At 37.3% G+C, this 21406-nt stretch overlaps 2 annotated features.

The window, feature by feature from the left end:
- Nucleotides 1406-1966: an enhancer, noted in NCBI's record as "H3K27ac-H3K4me1 hESC enhancer chr7:12879421-12879981 (GRCh37/hg19 assembly coordinates)". NCBI's record gives its function as "activates a minimal SCP1, AML or CMV promoter by ChIP-STARR-seq in naive H9 embryonic stem cells {active_cell/tissue: H9 hESC(naive)}" and the evidence as "EXISTENCE:reporter gene assay evidence [ECO:0000049][PMID:30033119]".
- Nucleotides 20445-21038: an enhancer, noted in NCBI's record as "NANOG hESC enhancer chr7:12860349-12860942 (GRCh37/hg19 assembly coordinates)". NCBI's record gives its function as "activates a minimal SCP1, AML or CMV promoter by ChIP-STARR-seq in primed H9 embryonic stem cells {active_cell/tissue: H9 hESC(primed)}" and the evidence as "EXISTENCE:reporter gene assay evidence [ECO:0000049][PMID:30033119]".

The following is a 21406-nucleotide window of genomic DNA, read 5'->3' as shown; positions in this document are numbered from 1 at the left end:
CTGAATACAGCACACTGATGGGTCTTGACTCTTTATCCAATTTGCCAGTCTGTGTCTTTTAATTGGGGCATTTAGCCCATTTACATTTAAGGCTAATAGTGTTATGTGTGAATTTGATCCTGTCATTATGATGCTAGCTGGTTATTTCACCCATTAATTGATGCAGTTTCTTCATAGTGTCGATGGTCTTTACAATTTGGCATGTTTTTGCAGTGGCTGGTACTGGTTGTTCCTATCCATGTTTAGTGCTTCCTTCAGGAGCTCTTGTAAGGCAGGCCTGTTGGTGACAAATCTCTCAGCATTTGCTTGTCTGTAAAGGATTTTATTTCTCCTTCATGTGTTAAGCGTAGTTTGGCCAGATATGAGATTCTGGGTTGAAAATTCTTTTCTTTAAGAAGGTTGAATATTGGCCACCACTCTCTTCTGGCTTATAGGGTTTCTGCAGAGAGATCTGCTGTTAGTCTGATGTGCTTCCCTTTGTGGGTAACCTGAGCTTTGTCTATGGCTTTCCTTAACAATTTTTCCTTCATTTCAACCTTGGTGAATCTGACAATTATGTGTCTTGGGGTTGCTCTTTTCAAGGAGTATCTTTGCGGTGTTCTCTGCATTTCCTGAATTTGAATGTTGGCCTGCCTTGTTAGGTTGGGGAAGTTCTCCTGGATAATATCCTGAAGAGTGTTTTCTAAGTTGGTTCCATTCTCCCTGTCACTTTCAGGTACACCAATCAAATGTAGATTTGGTCTTTTCACATAGTTCCATATTTATTGGAGGCTTTGTTTATTTCTTTTTATTCTTTTTCCTTTGATCTTGTGTTCTTGCTTTATTTCATTAATTTGATCTTCAATCACTGATATCCTTTCTTCCGCTTGACTGAGTTGGCTACTGAAGCTTGTGTATGCTTCTTGAAGTTCTCATACTGTGGTTTTCCGCTCCATCATGTCATTTAAGCTCTTCTCTACACTGGTTATTCTAGTTAGCCATTCATCTAACCTTTTTGCAAGGCTTTTAGCTTCCTTGTGATGGGTTAGAACATGCTCCTTTAGCTCGGAGAAGTTTGTTATTACCAACCTTCTGAATCCTACTTCTGTCAACTCATCAAACTCATTTTCCATCCAGTTTTGTTCCCTTGCTGGCAAGGAGTTGTGTTCCTTCGGAGTAGAAGAAGCGTTCTGGTTGTTGGAATGTTCAGCTTTTCTGCTCTCGTTTCTCCCCATCTTTGTGGTTTTATCTACCTTTGGTCTTTGATGTTGGTGACCTAAGGATGGCGTTTTGGTGTGGATGTCATTTTTGTTGGTGTTGATGCTATTCCTTTCTTTTTGTTAGTTTTCCTTCTAACAGACAGGCCCCCAAGCTGCAGGACTGTTGGAGTTTGCTGGAGGTCCACTCCAGACCCTGCTTGCCTGGGTATCACCAGCAGAGGCTGCAGAGCAGCAAATATTGCTGCCTGATCCTTCCTCTGGAAGCTTCGTCCCAGAGGGGCACCTGCCTGTATGAGGACAGACGTCAGACCCTACTGGGAGGTGTCTCCCAGTCATTCTACATGGGGGTCAGGGACCCACTTGAGGAGGCAGTCTGTCTATTATAGGAGCTCGAACGCCATGCTGGGAGAACCACTGCTCTCTTCAGAGCTGTCAGGCAGGGACTTTTAAGTCTCGAGAAGCTGTCTGCTGCCTTTTGTTCAGATATGCCCTGCCGCCAGAGGTGGAATCTAGAGAGGCAGTAGGCTTTGCTTAGCTGCGCTGGGCTCTGCCCTGTTAGAGCTTCCCTGCTGTTTTGTTTACACTGTGAGCATAGAACCGCCTACTCAAGCCTCAGCAATGGCAGATGCCCCTCCCCCTGCCAAGCTCCCACGTCTCAGGTCAATCTCAGACTGATGGGCTGGCAGCAAGCAAGGCTCTGTGGGCGTGGGACCTGCTAAGCCAGGCACAGGAAGGGATCTCCTAGTCTGCCAGTTGCGAAGACTGTGGGAAAAGCACAGTATTTGGGCAGGAGTTTACCACTCCTCCAGGTACAGTCACTCATGACTTCCCTTGGCTAGGAAAGGGAAATCTCCCAAACCCTTGCACTTCCCTTATGAGGCGATGCCCCGCCCTGCCTCGGCTCACTCTCTGTGGGCTACACCCACAGTCCAAAAAGTCCCAGTGAGATGAACCAGGTACCTCAGTTGGAAATGCAGAAATCACCTGTCTTCTGCATCAATTCGGCCATCTTGGAAGCAACCTCAGGTATTTCTTTATAGGAGTGTGAGAATAGACTAATACACTGCATTATTTTTTCTCCATCACCTGCCAGTTTCCTAGTAGGATTTTTAAGTTAATTCATGTCACTTTCAACAGTCATTAGGTTCTGATACATATTCAGCTCTATTTTTACTACTTTATTACAGTGATCATTAGAATTCTAAAAAATTATAGAGAGTGAGCCCCCTTCCTTCCTATATAAACTTCTCTTTTCTAATTTTTCTTGGACATTTAGTCTTTCACGTTAATCTGACAGCATTTGGTCAAGTCTTCCTCACTGTGAGAACACAACATTTTTAAATTAACTTACAAGTTTTGACATTTTTCTCATGCCTTCATAGCTTAGAAAAAGCATACTTTTATACTTATTATTATTTAATATTTTATTTATTATTATTATATTTATTTACTTTCTTATTCATATATTAGTTAATTTTGCCATCCATGTGCACATTTATTTGTAGGTTTGCTACATTTCTGCACATTTATTTGTAGGTTATAATTATGAGTATATAATATTTTGAGATATTAATCTTCATTTTCTTCAACCTGTAACTTCCCTACTATTTTCTTTATTTATGCACTTAGTATAATGCCTTAGGAAGGTAATATGACAGGAAGATAAACCAAAAGTGTGCAAAATATTCTTGCCTTTTATTTGGAGAATCATAAGCCCTAGAGGAAAGAAAGGATTTGGGAAATAAAGACAACCCCTTGGTAAGAAAGATAATGAGAATAGGAATTCCCCTCCCTTCACCTGCCATCACGCATACACCAAAACCATGCATGCACCCTACCCAAACTTTACTAGCAGCTGAAGACAGAAAAGAAGGAGAGGTGAGGCTGTGCTTTCTGGTATTTATACCTCTTCCAGCCTTATTTGGAGCACTAGTCACTTTCTGAAGCAGAAGGCTGAGGGAATCAATAGTACGTGATGAACAAGATATCTGCTTTTCTTATCACAGGAGATAAGCAGAAGAGCAGAACTCCCCACTATGACAGTTTTGCCACTGTGTAGCACTGTTTAGATACTCCAGGAGCCCACATACTCCCTTCAGAAAAACCCCTTAAGCCCCTCTAACACATCCACACAACAAAAATTACTTCCTTATAACTATGGCATGTTTTCTCATTTTCTCCTTTTTCTATCCCTCATCATATTGTAAAGTCCTTGGGAATTCAGAAATGCAAACATATTCCTTTATTTTGTCATTTATTTCAGGTGAGTAAAGTAAGTTCATACTTCTGTTGTTGCCATTTTGGCAGAACTCTGTGTGTTGCTCAAAATCTAATCACAGATGTGTTTTCTCTTGGACTGTTAATGTAGTCTATATTTTAAGAAATTTGGGATGTATACTTCATAATTTGAGGCTTAGAATTTTTATTGCTTTCAGGATTTAATTTTTTGTTTTTATACACTGTTAATATCAAATAAAGCATGCATACACAAAAGTTAATAGATCATAAGTATGTAGTCACTAAATAGGCACTAAGTGATCTCTCCAACAGTACTATGGCAAACAGAAATAATATTAGCAGCACTCCCAAAAGCTACCCACCTCTCATTCCTTAAGGGTCAAGATGCTTAACAACATGAGATTTTCGTTTTATGACTATGAATCTTTGGTGAGGCCCACATCCTAACCTTTTTTAAAAAAATTAATTTTTAATTTTCTTACAATAACATTTATATCCTTTCCGTGTCCAGTTCTGTGAGTATGAACAAAAGTATAGTCATATACCCACTGTCACGATCAAGGTATAGACCAGTTATTTCATCTCTTCCCCAACACAAAGTAGCTTATTTCCCTTTAAAAGTCAACCCACTTCCAGCCTTGGCATTCACAACTCTGGTCTCTGTTCCAGTGGTAAGTCTACTACAAGAATATCATATAAATGGAGTCAAACCATACACAGCCTTTTTAATCTGACTTCTTTTACATAGTATAATGCATTTTGAGTTTTCTATTTTGTTGCGTGTGTATTTCATCCTTTTTTTGCTGAGCAGTATTCCATTGTATGGGTGCACCATAATTTGTTTCTGTCTTCATCAGTGAAAGGACATTAGCATTGTTCTTAGTCTTGGTGACTGCAAATAAAGCTACTATAAACATGTCTACAAGGTTTTTGTGTGAACACAGGTTTTGATTTCACTTGAGTCGTGCCAAGTTGGATTTCTAGATCACAGGAAAAGTAAATGTTTCTTCTATCTTTATAAGAAACTGCCAAATTGTTCCCCAAAGTGGCTGTGCCATTGTGCATTTCTATCATCAATGTATGAAAGTCCTAGTTATTCTGCAACCTCACCAGTACTTACTTAGAGTTGCTACTTCATTTAAAAGCCATTCTAATGGATAGGTAGTAACATATCTATGTACTTTGAATTTGCCTAATGTGGAATAACATTGAGAATATTTTCATATGCTTCTTTGCTATCTGTAAGTCTACTTTGCTGAAGTGTTTGTTCTAATCTTTTATCCAATTTTTAACTTTTTTGTTGTTTGTTTTCCTATGAGTGTCGAGTTTTTATATTTATTATTTGTACATAAATGTTTTATCAGATGTGCGATTTACAATTTTTTTTCCAATTTCTAAGGTTTTAGCTTTTAATCTCTCAACAGTGTCTTTCACAGAGCAGAAATTTTTAATTTTAAAAATCTACTTTGTCTGGCAGAGTACTTTGGCATTTTATCTGAGAAATATTTGCCTAACTGAAATTTACAGAGTTGTTATTTCCATTTATTTTTGTCTAGAAGTTTTATAGATTAGGTTTTTACTTAGTAGTATGACCCACTTTGAGTGATTGTGTATGTTGCAAAGTGTGCACAGTGTTTAGAGCAGTGACTGTCACATAGGCACCATGTAAGTATTTTAAATATTAGATTTATATGAAACATATGGTCGATATAGACTACATATTATATGCTTAAGTATTATACACTCGGTATTATATAAGCATTATCTGTATATACACACTATCACAAGTACATAGGTAATCATCAGAAGTATAAATCTATATTGAATTCTCCTATTTCTCCAATTTCATAAATGAACAAGGCACTTTAAAATTTGAGAATGGCTGTCTTTGTTGATATTCTTAGCAGCAGAATTCAGAGGACATCACAGTTTTTCCTTTCCATGGGTGGTGATTAAAATGGCACCAACAACCACAAGAAAAACATTGCATTGCCTATCTGAAACATCAAAGTCACATTAACATCTTACATTTTTACTTTCTTAAGGAAACCTGGAAACCTTCTTCATACAGCTAGAATAATTGCCTTAGCACGTTCCAGGTTCTCCCCTCTTAGGTTCATGACCCAAGATAAAAGGAGACTTTCTCCCATAACTCTAACTTTAAAAAGTCACTAAAGTCATTTGATTATTTTGCTTGGTTGCATGCCTTCTCCTATGTCGTAAGAGGAGGATGCTAAGAGGGGAACTCTATATAGAATCACAGAGTTGCTTTGAAAAATGGGTTACAGGAGGACTAAATGAATATATAAATATATAAAACAAGCTTTTCATTTTCCAAAAGAAAATAGGTCATACAGTAGTCAGGAAAAAACAAACTGGTGTCCGCTTTTGTTCCTCAATTTAACTCAGTGGAAGTTCTTACCAAATAATGGCTGAAGGAATAAGCTTAGACACAATGAAGTTCACAGAAAAATAATTAGTCAAGGTAATCTGCAAATTGCAAATAAATAAATAAATAAATATTTGATAATTCAAAAATTGTTTGGCTCTTTGATTACAACTAAATTAAACATACCTATAGAAAGTAAATAGATATTAGTTACTAGAAATAAAATTTAACACACTACACCTTACAAATGAAATTTATATGTCTGATCTTAGAGATTTCTGAGACTCCTAAATCCAGTATGTGAGGCAAACCTCATATTACCAGTTTATACATAAACAAAGAAGCAAACTTTTTTTTACCCATATTTTAATGGGACTTCAAATTCTTATTGCCTCTACAAACATATCTGTGAATAAAAGATGAGCTGTTCTGACCTAGATCATTTCTTCTTTATAAATTAACTTCTTTATCATCATTGTTGTATGTTGTTACCCAAACCAGAATTATAATTTAAGTATGCCATATTATACATTTTGGAAGGTGAATAATTTTGAATAATCCTTCGTATGGTTTGGCTCTGTGTCCCCATCCAAATCTCATGTTGAATTGTAATCTCCAATGTTGGGAAAGAGACCTGAAAGGAGGTGATTGGATCATGGGAGCAGATTTCTCCCTTGCTGTTCTCATGATAGTGAGTTCTCAGGAGACCTGGTTCTTTGAAAGTATACCACTACCTGCTTCGCTCTCTATCTCCTGCCACCATGTGAAGACATGCTTGCTTCTTCTTTGCCCTTTTGCCATGATTGTAAGTTTCCTGAGACCTCCCCAGCAATGCTTCCTGTACAGCCTGCAGAACTGACTCAATTAAATGTCTTTTTTAAAAATAAATAACCCAGTCTCAGGTAGTTCTCTATAGCAGTGTGAGAACAGATTAGTGCAGAAAATTGGTACCAGGAGTGGGGTATTGCTTTAAAGATACCTGGAAATGTGGAAGTAACTTTGGAACTGGGTAATGGGCAAAGTTTGAAACAGTTTGCAGGGATCAGAAGAGGATAGGAAGATGAGGGAAAGTTTGGAACTTCCCAGAGACTTGTTGAATGGTTTTAACCACAATGCTGATAGCGATATGGATAATGAAGTCCAGGATGAGGAGGTCTCAGATGGAGATGAGGAACTTATTGGGAACTGGAGTAAAGGTCACTCTTGCTATGCTTTAGCAAAGAGACTGGTGGCATTTTGCTTCTGCCCTAGAGATAGGTGAAACTTTGAACTTGAAAGTGATGATTTAAGGTATCTGGCAGATGAAATTTCTAAGCAGCAAAGTATTCAAAATGGTAGCCTGGCCACTTCTAACAGCCTAACTTCATATGAGTTTGATAAAGAGATAGTCTGATATTGGAACTTTTATTTAAAAGAGAAAAAGCATATAAAAGTTTGAAAACTTTGCAGCCCACCCATGTGGTAGAAAAAAAAATTCTGAGAAGAAATGCAACATGGCTGCAGAAGTTTGCATAAGTCAAGAGGAACTGAATGTTAATAGCCAAGACAATAGAGAAAGATGCCTTGAAGACATTTCAGATAATTTCATGGCAGCTCCTTCCATCACAGACCTAGAGGCCTAGGAAGATGGAATGGTTTTGTATGTCAGGCCCAGGGCCCTACTGTTCTGTGCAGCCTTGGAACATGGTGCCCTGCACTGCATTTGCTCCAGCTTCAACCATGGCTAAAAGGGGCCAAAGTAAAGCTCAGGCCATTGCTTCAGACAGTGCAAGCCCCAAGCCTTGGCAGCTTCCATGTGGTGTTGGGTCTGTGGGTATGCATGCAGAAGACAAGAGTTTAAGCTTGGGTTTCTCTGTCTAGATTTCAAAGACATATGGAAATGCTTGGATGTCCAGGCAGAAGCCTGCTGCAGGGGCAGAGCCCTCATGGAGAACCTCTTCTAGGGCAGTGCATAGGGGAAATGTGGGCTTGAAGCCCCCATACAGAATCCCCACTGGGCACTGCCTAGTGGAGTTGTGAGAAGAGGGCCACCATCCTCCAGATGCCAAGATGTTAGATACACTGACGGCTTGCACCATGTGCCTGAAAAAGCCACAGGCACTCAACGCCAGCCCATGAAAGCAGCCATGGGAGCTATACCCTACACAGCCACAGGGGCATAGCTGCCCAAGACCTTGGAAGCCCACCCATTGCATCAGTGTGACCTGGATGTGAGACATAGAGTCGAAGGAGATTATTTTGGAGCTTTGATATTTAATGACTGCCCCCATGAGTTTCGGACTTGCATGGGGCCTGTAGTCCCTATGATTTGGCCAGTTTCTCCCTTTTGGAACAGGAGCATTTACCCAATGCCTGTGCTCACATTGTATCTTTGAAGTAACTAAATTTTTCTTGATTTTACAGGTTCATAGGTGGAAAGGACTTGCCTTGTCTCTGATGAGACTTTGGACTTGGGCCTTTGAGTTAATGCTGGAATATGGTAAGACTTCGGGGTACTGTTAGGTAGGCATGATTGTGTTTCAAAATATGAGAAGGACATGAGGTTTTGGAGGTGCCAGGGGCAGAATGATTTGGTTCGGCTCTGCATCCGCATCAAAATCTCATGCTGAATTGTAATTCCCAATGTTGGGAAAGGGACCTGGTGGGAGGTGATTGGATAATAGGGGCAAATGTCTCCCTTGCTATTCTCGTGATAGTGAGTTCTCATGAGATCTGATTGTTTGAATATGCACAGCCCTTCCGCCTTTGCTCTCTCTCTTTTTCCTGCCACCATGTGAAGATGTGCTTGCTTCGCTTTTGCCCTCTACCATAATGTAAGTTTCCTGAGGCCTCCCCATCCATGCTTCTTTTACAGCCTGTGGAACCATAAGCCCATTAAACCTCTTTTCTTTATAAATTACCAGTGTCAGGTAATTCTTTATAGCATTATAAGAATGAACTAATACAATCCTCTCAGGTTTATTTGTTCACAAATCCATAATTTGCTGAAAATTGTTACTTTAATACTTTAGGATAATTAGTTAATTAATTAATGCATTACAAATATCCCTGAATTAGCTGGTTCTGAGAGAGTAACACACTATGTAAAAAATGACTGATCAAAGTAGTAATCACACCAGGACAAAGGCTATGGGATGTGACATTTCCAGGGGGAGAAAAAAAGAGAAGCAATTAGGTTGGGCTTCACACTGCCACCTTGCATGGCACAAGAGGGCTGCTCGTGGATGCCACTGCACAAGCCAGCGACTGTTTCCTCTCATGCAGCCCTGGTTGTTGACGAGCATGTGTTTACATAGCTATGGCTGCCAGACCATCTACTGATCAACACACTATCTAAAGCACAACATCAGATGGCACAGCCTTATTGTCAATTTACTGTACATGTGTGAACCTGGCACAAAATATAACCAATAGAAAAGACAGACATTGGAAATTGGAGAGTTACTGAAGAGAGTCACCCCCATCCTCAAACTTCTCCTTATATTAATAGTTCCCAAAAAAAGAAAATGAATAGAAGATGAAGGAGGGAGAGAAGAGGAAGATAGTGGGAAAATGCCAAAATACAAGTAAACTAAAAGTTACTAATACAACAAACTTTATCAAGATTTTAATATTTGTAATAAAAGTCATAACACATAAGTACTGCCAAAATTACCAACTTTTAAAAATCAGGCTCTGGTGTTTTTTTCTCAAAATTCTTGTTAATAACAACAAAAGAAATCGAAAAACCAAGAAGGAAATAAATTCATCTATTGTTATAGACAGCATTTGTTCAATGCCTTCTCAGTGCCAGGTTACATGGATTATGCCATTCAAATTTCACAACAATGCATTTGGGCAGGTAATATTAAACACTGGGATTTTAAAGTTGTGGAAACAAAATCTCAGAGAGGTTAGATAACTTGCCATGAATCTGAACCCAGTAGTCTTACTCCAGGTCCTCTATCTAGGATCACACTGGCTACCCCTTCAAACCTATGCTGCCTCCCAAGTGTGAGGAATGAGAATACTTCAGCAATAACAACAAAAAACTCTCTTAGGAAAGTACATGACTTAGGATGAAAGTATATGACTTAAGATGATTCACCAAAGATCACCTTCAAAGGAGTCAGTGATTTCAAAGAGAAAAATTCTGTTCAATTTTCTCATGCATCCTAAAGCTTATCCTTTGCAAAAGAAACAGGGTCATCTCCTCCTTTTAAAATTAATTAATTTGCATTGTAGACATCTGAGAGATGTCTGAATGTGTGACATAGCAGCCCAGAATATAATGCAAGAATTATTTTCCAGCTCCTGGCTTCAGTTGCCAAAAGAAACCTATTTCTTATCATGGCTTTGCAGCCTGTTTTATGATATGAGGGATGTAGAGAATCTTCATTTAGAAAGCCATAATATCCATAGAAATATTTTCACCATCCACCCAAGGATAAACTCTGAATAACTTACATACGTTTTTAATGTCTGAATGAGATGGAACTTTAAACATTATTTTTATAGTTATACTTTTTTAGAGAGACCAGAAAGCTAGCACCAATTAAACATTAGCTGAAGTACAAAACAAAAAGAATTGAAAAAGCACACAAAATTTTAAGAATAAAATGTGAAAGGATTAATTTTTTCAATGTACTAAGTCCATTTGCACTATATTTTAAATATATTTGACTTGATGTCTTCAATTTCCAGTATACGTGTTTTGATAAATAAATGCTGACTAGTATATTTGTGTACTTTCCATATTTGGAGAATTTCTCTTGTGCATTCCTCACCTCATTCAGATGTTGTTTATCACTGTCTTGGGTAGTTGAGTCTATGGTTCTTTCATACAGTAATACTTTCTTTACTTTATGTGTGTATGGAAAACTTTTAAAAATCACGTTGCTAGTGCACGGGCCAAAACAACTTGGGAAATTGACAGTTTTATTATTATTCATGACTCTCTTTTTTCCTAAGGTTCTCCTCACTGCCTTGAGATTTTGTTCTTGTGATAGATTAACCAATGCTAATATGTTAACCCTTAGAGATGATTTCTGTGAAATAATAGAGGTTTCTGGAGATTGAAAGGATAGACTCCAAAACTGGGAATTCAAACTCTGTGAAGTTTGGGATAGATGGTTGGTTCTTTGTAGTGTCAAAAACTCAAATTTTGTTCTGGGTTCCACTCCCCCACCCCTCCCCACCACAAAAAAAAAAAAAAAAATTTAGAAAAGCAGAATAATAAAATTAAGAAAATTTTTTTGTGCTACCTTTACAAATCACCAATCCATTTATTTTCCCCCAAATAAATTCAACAATATTAACTAGGTACCTGTTAAAGACTTATCTTCTTACTAGAGATGCAAATAAAAAGATGACTAAGATACAGACCTGCTCTCAAGAAAGTCCCAGAGAAAGCCATGGAGCCATCATTGCAATAGTGTTGCGAATTCTCTATTAGGTATGTGAACATGGAAAAGTAAAGAAACAAACAAGTAGAGGCTAAAATCTTCCACGTGGAGGCAGAATTTTAAATCATTGGCATTAAGAAATAAGTTTTAAAGGATTAAGAGATATGTCACGGTGACAGGAGTTTTTGGTGTGGAGAAAACATCAGGTGTTACGACTAAGAGGGGTACTGACGCATGGCTCACGAGTGGAACTGTGAGTAGTTTAGAATGGCAGGGGCTTCAGTTGACAGAGACCAAATCATGAAGGGCCTTAGATTCCATGCCAAGAGTTTGAAATTATCCTCTGAGCAATTGCATGATGGTGATATGGTTTAGATATGTCTCCCCACTCAAATCTCATGTTGAAATGTAATCCCTAATGTTGCAGGTGGGGCCTGGTGGGAGATGTCTGGGTCATGGGAATGAATCCCTCAAGGATTGGTGTTGGCCTTGTAATAGTGAGTGACTTCTTGTGAGATATGATGGCTTAAAAGTGTGCCACCCTCCCTCTCCCCTCTTGATCCCAGTCTCACCTTGTGATACATCAGCTCCTCCTTCGCCTTCTGCCATGATTAGTTTCCTGAGGCCTCCCCAGAAGCCAAGCAGGTCCCAGCACAGCCTATAGGCTTCCTACAAAGCCTGCAGAGCTGTGAGCCAATTAAACGTCTTTTCTTTATAAGTTACCAAGCTTCAGGTATTCCTTTATAGCAACACAAGAACAGCCTAACACAGGTGGCTAATTACACGTCACTGTTTTTCTGGAAAATCTTTGGTAATGCAAACGGGAAGACAGCAAAATATTTTAACCAAGAAGCAATGTAATCAGTTTCACATTTTGAAGAGTAATGCTGGTGATGGTGAGTGGAATTTCATTATTTTATTAACTAAAAACAAAGTGTGTGTGTGTGTGTGCATGTGTGTGCACATTTAGTATCTATAATACTATGGGTCAGGCACTGGGATGCATTACAGTTACAAACATAAAAAAAAAATGCGAACCTTAACCCCATGGAGACAGTTAAAGTAGTTACAATGTACATTAATTGGAAGGGAAATTAGGTAAAAGATTACTGGAAAACCCCACCAAGAAATATTGGAAGCAGAAATGACAGACTAGCTATGAGATAGATTACAGAGATATTGGCAAGACCTAATATATTATAACAATTGAATGTGTGATGGGGTAGCTTAAGAGTGAAAAAGAAATCTAGGATGATGCTAAAGTTTCTATCTTGGAAACAGCAGAAAAATAGCATTAGGCGTGGAAGAAGGAAGAACAATTTGGGAGAAATGGCATGGATTTCAGTCCTGGGCAAGCAGGGGTTGAGGTGTTTGTGAGACATGCAGATGGAAAAGTCCAGGATGCAAGAAATATGACACAGAAACTCTGTATCGATGTATTAGCCTGAGACACAGATTTGAGACTCCTCAGCCTCTTGATGGAAGTAGAAAAGGCATCAAAATATTAACAGTAATTGCCTATAGAAGGTAAAGCTTTTGATAAGTTCTTTTTAATCTTTTCTATTTTTCAAATTTCTATATATTCCTTTTATAACAATTTTTTAATTTTTTATTTTTAAAAGACAAATTAAAAAATATAATTTAGCTCAGTGTGACTATATAAACTTTTAAGACAAACTATGTGAGCCTACTCTCCAAATGCGAGATTAAGCAATTCACTTAAAAGAGCTAAACTATATTATATACAGATCCAGCCCCTTCACATAGATTATTTCATTTAAATCTTAAAACAAATGAATACCTGCTGATTGATGTATTGAACTGGAAAGGTTTTCTTTTAATAACCTACTTATTATGTATACTATTCATCTAACTCTTCCTCTGCACTATTTCAGCCCCTGCAAATTATATGCCTTAGGTATACTCACTGATTGTATGCATACACTTAGCTCTGATTTACACATGACAATCCTATTCCACTGGGCAATAATCTAGTATATTTAACATAAGTGTGCTCTCATTATACCTTTGAGCATTGTGTCTTCAGGCATCATAAAGATATGCTATGACATTGTGGTTTCTTTATTTTTTATTTTTCTTTTCTGAGATGGAGGCTTGCTCTGTCACCCAGGCTGGAGTGCCGTGGCGCAATCTCAGCTCACTGCAACCTCTGAGATTCTCCCGCCTCAGCCTCCTAAGTAGCTGGGATTACAGGTGAGCATCAACACATCCGGCTAATTTTTGTATTTTTAGAATAGACAGTGTTTCACCATGTTTGCCAGGCTGTTCTTCAACTCCTGGCCTCAAGTGATCCACCCACCTTGGCTCCCCAAAGTTCTGGTATTACAAGTGTGAGTCAGACGTTGTTGTTAAGTGCAGAAAAAATTCTTCCATGTCAAATGATAACCAACACTTACGAAGCACTTGCTGTGTCAGGCACCATTGTAAGCACTCTACAGATAATAGCTCAGCTATTCATGACAATGGCCTGAGAAGGTATTATTATTATCGTCCCCATTTTATAGATGGAGAAACTAAGGCATTAAGTAACTTCAAGGTCACAGAGCTAGAAAGCAGCAGAGCCAGAAGTAAAACCCAGAGTCAAAGTTAGTTCCTACTGCTGCATTAGGCTGCCTCTCACATAAAGGGTCTTCATCTTTCAACCCTCAGCCTTCCACTTGCAGAACCAGTTGTATTCTTTCCCAGTGACTATTGAAAAGCAATGCTGATAGAATGCCTCCAAGCCATAGAATAAGGGTTGGGAGTGGGCTAGGATTCTGAGTCACTATAAGCTATGGTAGCACAGATTTGAAGTTCTATGTCACATGGATCATTTTTCCCTCTCTATCTAAACCCAGGAACTGAAACCTTGAATGAACTTCCTAGTCCACCTTCCACTCTGGCATGCAGTAAAGCCATGACTAAAATTCACCACTGCCACATATGGAGTATTACAAGAGCAAACAAAACTAAACATGACTGTGGCTGAGAAAAGAAAGATAACAAGGCTGAAAATACACCTCCCAGGAATCCAAATCCCTGCCAATAATTTAATCACCAAAACATAAATAGTGACTGTTAATATTTTACTGTAAGATTGAGGTAGCATCACTTAGAGGAAACAGCAAAGGTTTCGTATATAGACAAACCTGGGGTTCATGCACGTCCTTGACATTTACTTGGTGAGTAACCTCACAGAATACACGTAACCTCCCTGAGTCTGTTTTCCTATTTACAAAAGGAAAATAAAAACTATTTTATAATGTTATTGAGAAAATAAATGAAAGAACCGAAAAACCACAAAATCACTACTTAAACATAAGATATTATCATAATGGCTAAGCAACCAAACTCTATTATTCTCAGTGGCTATGCACATTATCCAATTGGCTACACCATTCAAGCTTGAACTATTGTGTCAAAACATTTTTCTGTATGGAATAAGGCATATTTCATTAGTATCTATTCTATGGTATTTTTATGACCAATACTGTGTCTGTATCTTTATATATTTATATTAGATCTACACTTTATATTCTTATAAAACATTTCTATGTTTTTATTTTGCTTTCTAAAATACCACATTTGAATGATTGACTTCTCTGCTGTATCTCTCCATCAGACTTAGTATCTGGACCTTATTGTCAACACTACCTAATGATATCTCCCTCTGGAAGATGTGCAAAAAGTGGGGATACTGGAAAACAGGGGATACAGGGAAAACGGAATTTTTTTTGTTGCAAAATTCTTCCTAAATGACTTATTACAGAAGTGTTTAAGCAATTTTTTTTCCTAGATATTTATCACTAAGGATCAAGTGTGCTCATGCGTTAGTATGCGTTCTAGGAAACATTATGATTTTAAAGCCTCTCTCCTGAATGACTTTATAAAATTTTATACAATATTACAGAAGCAAATAACAAAGTGACTCTTTGAGTCCTGGAGCCTATCTAGTGATTGCACTGGCCCTGTACTGAAAGTGTCCTCCATTAATGCTTTTAATCTTCAGTGCTGGAGATTTTATTGAATGTTGTAGTAGTCTGTTCTTGGACCACTATAAAGAAATGCCTGAGACTGGATAATTTATAAAGAAAAGAGATTTAACTGGCTTATAGTTTCACAGGCTGTACAGGAAGCATGGCTGGGGAGGCCTCAGGAAACTGACTATCATAGTGGAAAGCAAAGGGGAAACAGGTATATCTTACATGGACAGAACAGGAGGAAGAGGATGAGGGGGAAGGTGCCAAACACTTTTAGACAACCAGATCTCATGACAACTCTATCACGAGAACAGGCCCAAAGGGGGAAATCTGTCACCATGATGCAATCATCTCCCACCAGGCCCCAACCTCAACATTAGATTACAATTTGACATGAGACTTGGGCAGGGACACAAATTCAAACCATATCAAATGTGAACTTGGAACCAAAACTGAGAGTTTTCTGAATTTGGAGATCAGACTTTGGGAATAACTTGATAATAGGAATTTAAAATTTTACATGCATTTTTAAGATCCACTTGATGGCAGATTCCCTCTTTGTACTGCAAATCTTTTGTGAGAAGAGGGGGCATTCAAATTTTTTAAATGGTAAGTTTATAGAAGTTTTACACTAGAAATAGAGTCTATTACTTTAATTTAATGTAAATTAAGTAATTTACATTACTTTTAATGGCAAAAGCTGCAATTACTTTTGCACCAACCAATACAATTTATAGAATGTCATTCTATTTTTTTGTTTTGTTTAAGGAAGAAGAAAATTGTTGTGATTGCAATTATCAGGCTTTTCTTTCTTCTGAAGAAAATAGTTTTTTACGTCAAAGGCCTAATATGCTGAAACAGATTTACTTTATTGTTTCAGAGAAGACTACTTTTCAGGTAAAATTTAAATACAAGTAACCTAACCTAATGAAAAATTATCACAAGCTGACCTCTTTTGCAGAGCTTTTGAGATTTCATAAATAAGCACCACACAGAGACTAAAAAGGTATAGAAGGAAACAAAGTAAGTTTGAGATAATAGCTACCTTGAAAAGGAAAGAGAATATTTCCAGAGATTGTGGTTGAACTTTTTCTGCAATTAAGAAACTTTGTAGTTATTTTTTTATTTTAGATTTGGGGGTACATGTGAAGATTTGTTACATAAGTAAACTCGTGTTATTGGGGTTTGTTGTACATATTATTTTATCACACAAGTATTAATAGTTATCCCAATAGTTATCTTTTCTGCTCCTCTCCCTCCCTCCACCCTCCCTCCTCTAGTAGACTCAATGTCTGCTGTTTCCTTCTTTGTGTTCGTAAGTTCTTATCATTTAGCTCCTACTTATAAGTGAGAACATTAGGCATTTGGTTTTCTGTTCCTGTGTTAGTTTGCTAAGGATAATAGCCTCCAGCTCCATCCATGTTCCCACAGAATACATGATCTGTTCTTTTTTTTTGGCTGCATAGTATTCCATGGTGTATATGTACATTTTCTTCATCTAATCTGTCATTGATGGGCATTGAGGTTGATTCCATGTCTTTACTATTGAGAATAGTGCTGCAATGAACATTCACGTGCATGTGCCTTTATGGCAGAATAATTTATATTCCTCTGGGTATATACCCAGTAATGGGATTGCTGGGTTGAATGGTAGTTCTGCTTTTAGCTCTTTGAGGAATCACCATATTGCTTTCCAAGATGGTTAAACTAATTCACACTGCCAACAACAGTGCATAAGTGTCCCCTTTTCTCTGCAACCTCATCAGCATCTGCTAGTTTTTGACTTTTTAATAGTAGCCATCCATTCTGACTGGTGTGAGATAGTATCTCATTGTAGTTTTGATTTGCATTTCTCTAATGATCAATGATCATTGAGAAAAATGAGCTTTTTTTCATGTTTGTTTGCCACATGTATGTCTTCTTTTGAGAAATTTCTGTTCATGTTATTTGCTCACTTTTTAATTGAGTTTTTTTGTTTGTTTGTTTGTTTTACTCTTGTAAATTTAAGTTCCTTATAGATGCTGGATATTAGACCTATGTCAGATGCATAGTTTGCAAATATTTACTCCCATTCTGTAGGTTGTTTGCTTACTCTGTTGATAGTTTCTTTTGCTGTGCAGAAGCTCTTGTTTAATTAGATAACATTTGTCAATTTTTGCTTTTGTTGCAATTGCTCTTGGGGTCATTGTCATGAAATCTTTGCCCGTTCCTATGTCCAGGATGGTATTGCCTAGGTAGTCTCCCAGAATTTTTATAATTTGGGGTTTTATATTTAAATCTTTAGTCCGTCTTCAGTCAATTTTTGTGTATGGAGTAAGGTAGGGGTCCAGCTTCAATCTGCTGCATATGGCTAGCCAGTTAACCCAGCACCATTTATTGAATACAGAATCTTTTCCCTATTGATTGTTTTTGTCAGTTTTGTCAAAGATCAGATGGTTGTAGATATGTAGCCTTATTTCTGGGCTCTCTATTCTGTTCCATCAGTCCACGTGCCTGTTTTTGTACCAGTACCATGCTGTTTTAGTTACTGTAGACTTGTAGTATAGTTAGAAGTCAGGTAATGTGATGCCTTTTTGCTCTTTTTGTTTAAGATGGCCTTGGCTATTCAGGCTCTTTTTTAGTTCCATATAAATATTAGTATAGTTTTTTTTTCTAGTTCTGTGAAGAATGTCATTGGTAGTTTGATAAGAATAGCATTGATTCTGTAAGTTGCTTTGGGCAGTATACCTCTTTTAATGATATTGATTCTTCCTGTCCATGAGCATGAGATGTTTTTCCATTTGTTTGTGACTTCTCTGATTTCTTTTTGAGCAACGTTTTGTAACTCTCATTGCAGAAATATTTCATTTCCATAGTTAGCTGTATTCCTAGGTATTTTATTCTTTTTGTGGCAACCGTGAATGAGATTGCCTTTCTGATATGGCTCTTGGTTTGTCTGTTGGTAGTGTACAGGAATGCTAGTAATTTTTGTAAATTGATTGTGTATCCTGCAACTTGGCTGAAGTTATTTATCAGCTGGAGGAGCTTTTGGGCCGACACTATGGGGTATTCCAGATATAGAATTATGTCATCTGCAGGCAGAGATCATTTGACTTCCTCTCTTACTATTTGAATGCCCTTTAATTTTTTATTTTACCTGATTGCTCTGGCTAGGACTTCCAATACTTTGTTGAATAGAAGTTGGTGAGAGGGAGCATCCTTGTCTTGTGTACGTTTTCAAGAAGAATGCTTTCAGCTTTTGCCCATTCTGTATAATATAGGCTGTGGATTTGTCATAGATGGCTCATTATTTTGAGGTATGTTCCTTCAATACCTAGTTTACTGAGAATTTTTAACATGAAGGGTGTTGAATTTTGTCAAAAACCTTTTCTGCATCTATTGAGATAGTCATGTGGTTTTTGTCTTTAGTTCTGTTTATGTGATGAATCACATTTATTGATGTTCATATGTTGAACTGACCTTGCATCCCAGGGATGAAGCATACTTGATCATGACGGATTAGCTTTTTGAGGTACTGCTGGGTTTGGTTTTCCATATTTTGTTGAGGATTTTTGCTTCGATGTTCATTAAGGAATTGGCCTGAAATCTCCTTTTTTAAAATTTTGTTTCTGGCAGGTTTTGATGATGCTGATCTCATAGAATGACTTGGGGAGGAGTCCCTCCTCAATTTTTTGACTAGTTTTTGTAGGAATCGTACCAGTGCCTCTTTGTACATCTGGTGGAATTCAGCTGTGAATCCATCAGGTCCCAGGTTTTTTTTGATTGTTAGGTTATTTATTACTGATTCAGTTTTGGAACTCGTTATTGATCTGTTCAGGGAATCAATTTCTTCCTGGCTTAGTCCTGGAATGGTGTATGTGTCTAAGATTTTATCCATCTCTTCTAGGTATTTTAATTTGTGTGCATAGAAGTTTTCATAGTAGTTTCTGATTATTGTTTTCATTTCTGCAAGGTCACTAGTAACATTACCTTCATCAAGAAATTTTGTTTATATTAATTCAGAACCATTTTAAGTACGACTGTAAGGCTTTTGCCTTCAGTAATTAGATAACTCATAATTTCAATTTTTAGCCTTCTTTGCACCTAGTATTTTTGGAAACTACTCGATGTAAAGACCATGTAAAGAAAGCTAATGTTCATGCATATGAATAGCCATATTTTTAATATTGGCACCAAAATAAATGCATATTTTTTCTACTCTTTCATTCAGCTTTGAAATACAGGCTTTGCATTTCTGCCATATTTTAAAATGTGACCTATTTCTCATGTATATTTTAAGTGAGAAAAGATACATGAAAATATTTTAAATATGGAAATACTTCTGAGATATAACATCACTGAAAGAAAAACATAGCATAAAACACTTTCACAGAAGGAGTCACATCCCTTGATTGAGGCATGCTAATTTTTCTTTTAAAAGGTCTTAGTGCATTTCCTGATATTATAAAACAACACCCTGCTGCATTTAATACTGCAACAATATCCCAAAGACAAATTTGGAGACATAGCATTTTCCTTCACCACAGATGTTGCTGAAAAAAAAAGCACTCAAAAACACATCGTGCTACTGATGTAGCCATGTGAATACCAAGATGAGAGAACAACAATGCGGGCTTTGATGATGGTCAAATATTAACATGACATCTGCCACTGGCTCTTTGGGTCCTGAAGTCTATCTTGTGATTGTACTAGCCCTGTAGTGAAAGTGTCCTCTATTAGTGCTTTTAATCTTCTGCTCTGGAGGTTTTATTGAATGTGAACTTGGATGCTGCTTTCTGAATTTGGGGATTAAACTTTAGGAATACCTTTGTAATAAAAATGCAAAATTTATGTGCATTTTAAATAATCTAGTTGAAGGCAAATTTCCTTGGAATTATTTCTTATATATTAGAGGGATTTTTTTTGAACTAGTTTTTTTTTTTTTTAACTTCCCTAGCTATTGCCTTTTATGTCTACTTATTTATTCATTGAATTAATCAATATAGGGTCATTTAAACACTACATGCAAATACCATTAGAAATATTCTGTCTGTTACATTTACGTTAAAATCATCCTTGGATCTAGGACAAAGCTGTTATGAAGTACAAAGAAAAAAAAATCTTAGGATGTAAGAATTTGTTTATTAGAGAGCCACAGTTAGATCTACCCAAGACTTTGTTAACTATCATTGAAGAAAGTCAAACTCTGTAAAATATTTGAAGAGATTTATTCCGAGCCAACTATGAGTGACCAATGGCCCATGACACAGGCCTCATCAGGAGACCCTGAGAACATGTGCCCAAGGTGGTCAGGGCACAGCCTAGTTTTATACACTTTAGGGAGACATGAGACATCAATCAAATACATTTAAGATATATATTGGTTTGGTCTAGAAAAGCAGGACAATTGGAAGTGGGGCAGGGCGGCAGGAAGTTGGCGGTGACTGGGACTTCCAGGGATTTAAATTTTTCTGATTGGCAATTGGTTGAAAGAGTTATTATCAATAGAATGGAATGTTTGAGTTACAATAAGGAGCTGTGGAAACCACAGTTTTATCATGCAGATGAAACCTCCAGGTAGCAGGCTTCAGAGAGAAGAGATTATGAAAGTTTCTTATCAGATTTAAGGTCTGTGTTGATGTTCAATGCTGGCTGGCTTTTTCTGAATTCCAAAAGGGAAGAGGGCATAATGAGGCATGTTCAGACCCCCACTCCCAACCAGGGCCTGAACCAGTTTTTCAGGATAACTTTGGAGTTAACTCTGGCTGAGAGGAAAGGTCCATTCAGATAATTGCAGGGGGGCGCTTTAAATTTTATTTTTAGTTTACATAAACTTTGAAGGTAGCCTCTAATAGACAACAGCTAATCACGAACTACTTATAATTATTCTCTAGAAAATAACCAGGAAAGTTATAAATATTCAACAATAACAACATTTATGTCACATTAATATGATGTAATGAATGTACCGATTGATAACTTACTCATGTAGAATCCTTTGATTTTTTGAGTATTGTGTATAGTTTGAGTATATAAGCTACCTGTGAATTCTTATGTAGGAATGGTGTCACTACGACAAATGATCTAAACTTACTCAAAAGGAAACCTTACAAGTCTCCAGAAAGTTACTGTGTATCCCCTGGAGAATTTTTCCGTCTTATACTTGGCAAAATAAAAAATATTTCAAATACCAAGTTTTGTATATTTTGCATAAATACTTTTATTCTATACTCTGCT

The sequence above is a fragment of the Homo sapiens genome, chromosome 7 (assembly GCF_000001405.40).
Source record: "Homo sapiens chromosome 7, GRCh38.p14 Primary Assembly".
NCBI classification, from domain to species: Eukaryota; Metazoa; Chordata; class Mammalia; order Primates; family Hominidae; genus Homo; species Homo sapiens.
This window is presented reverse-complemented; position numbering and strand designations above follow the sequence as displayed.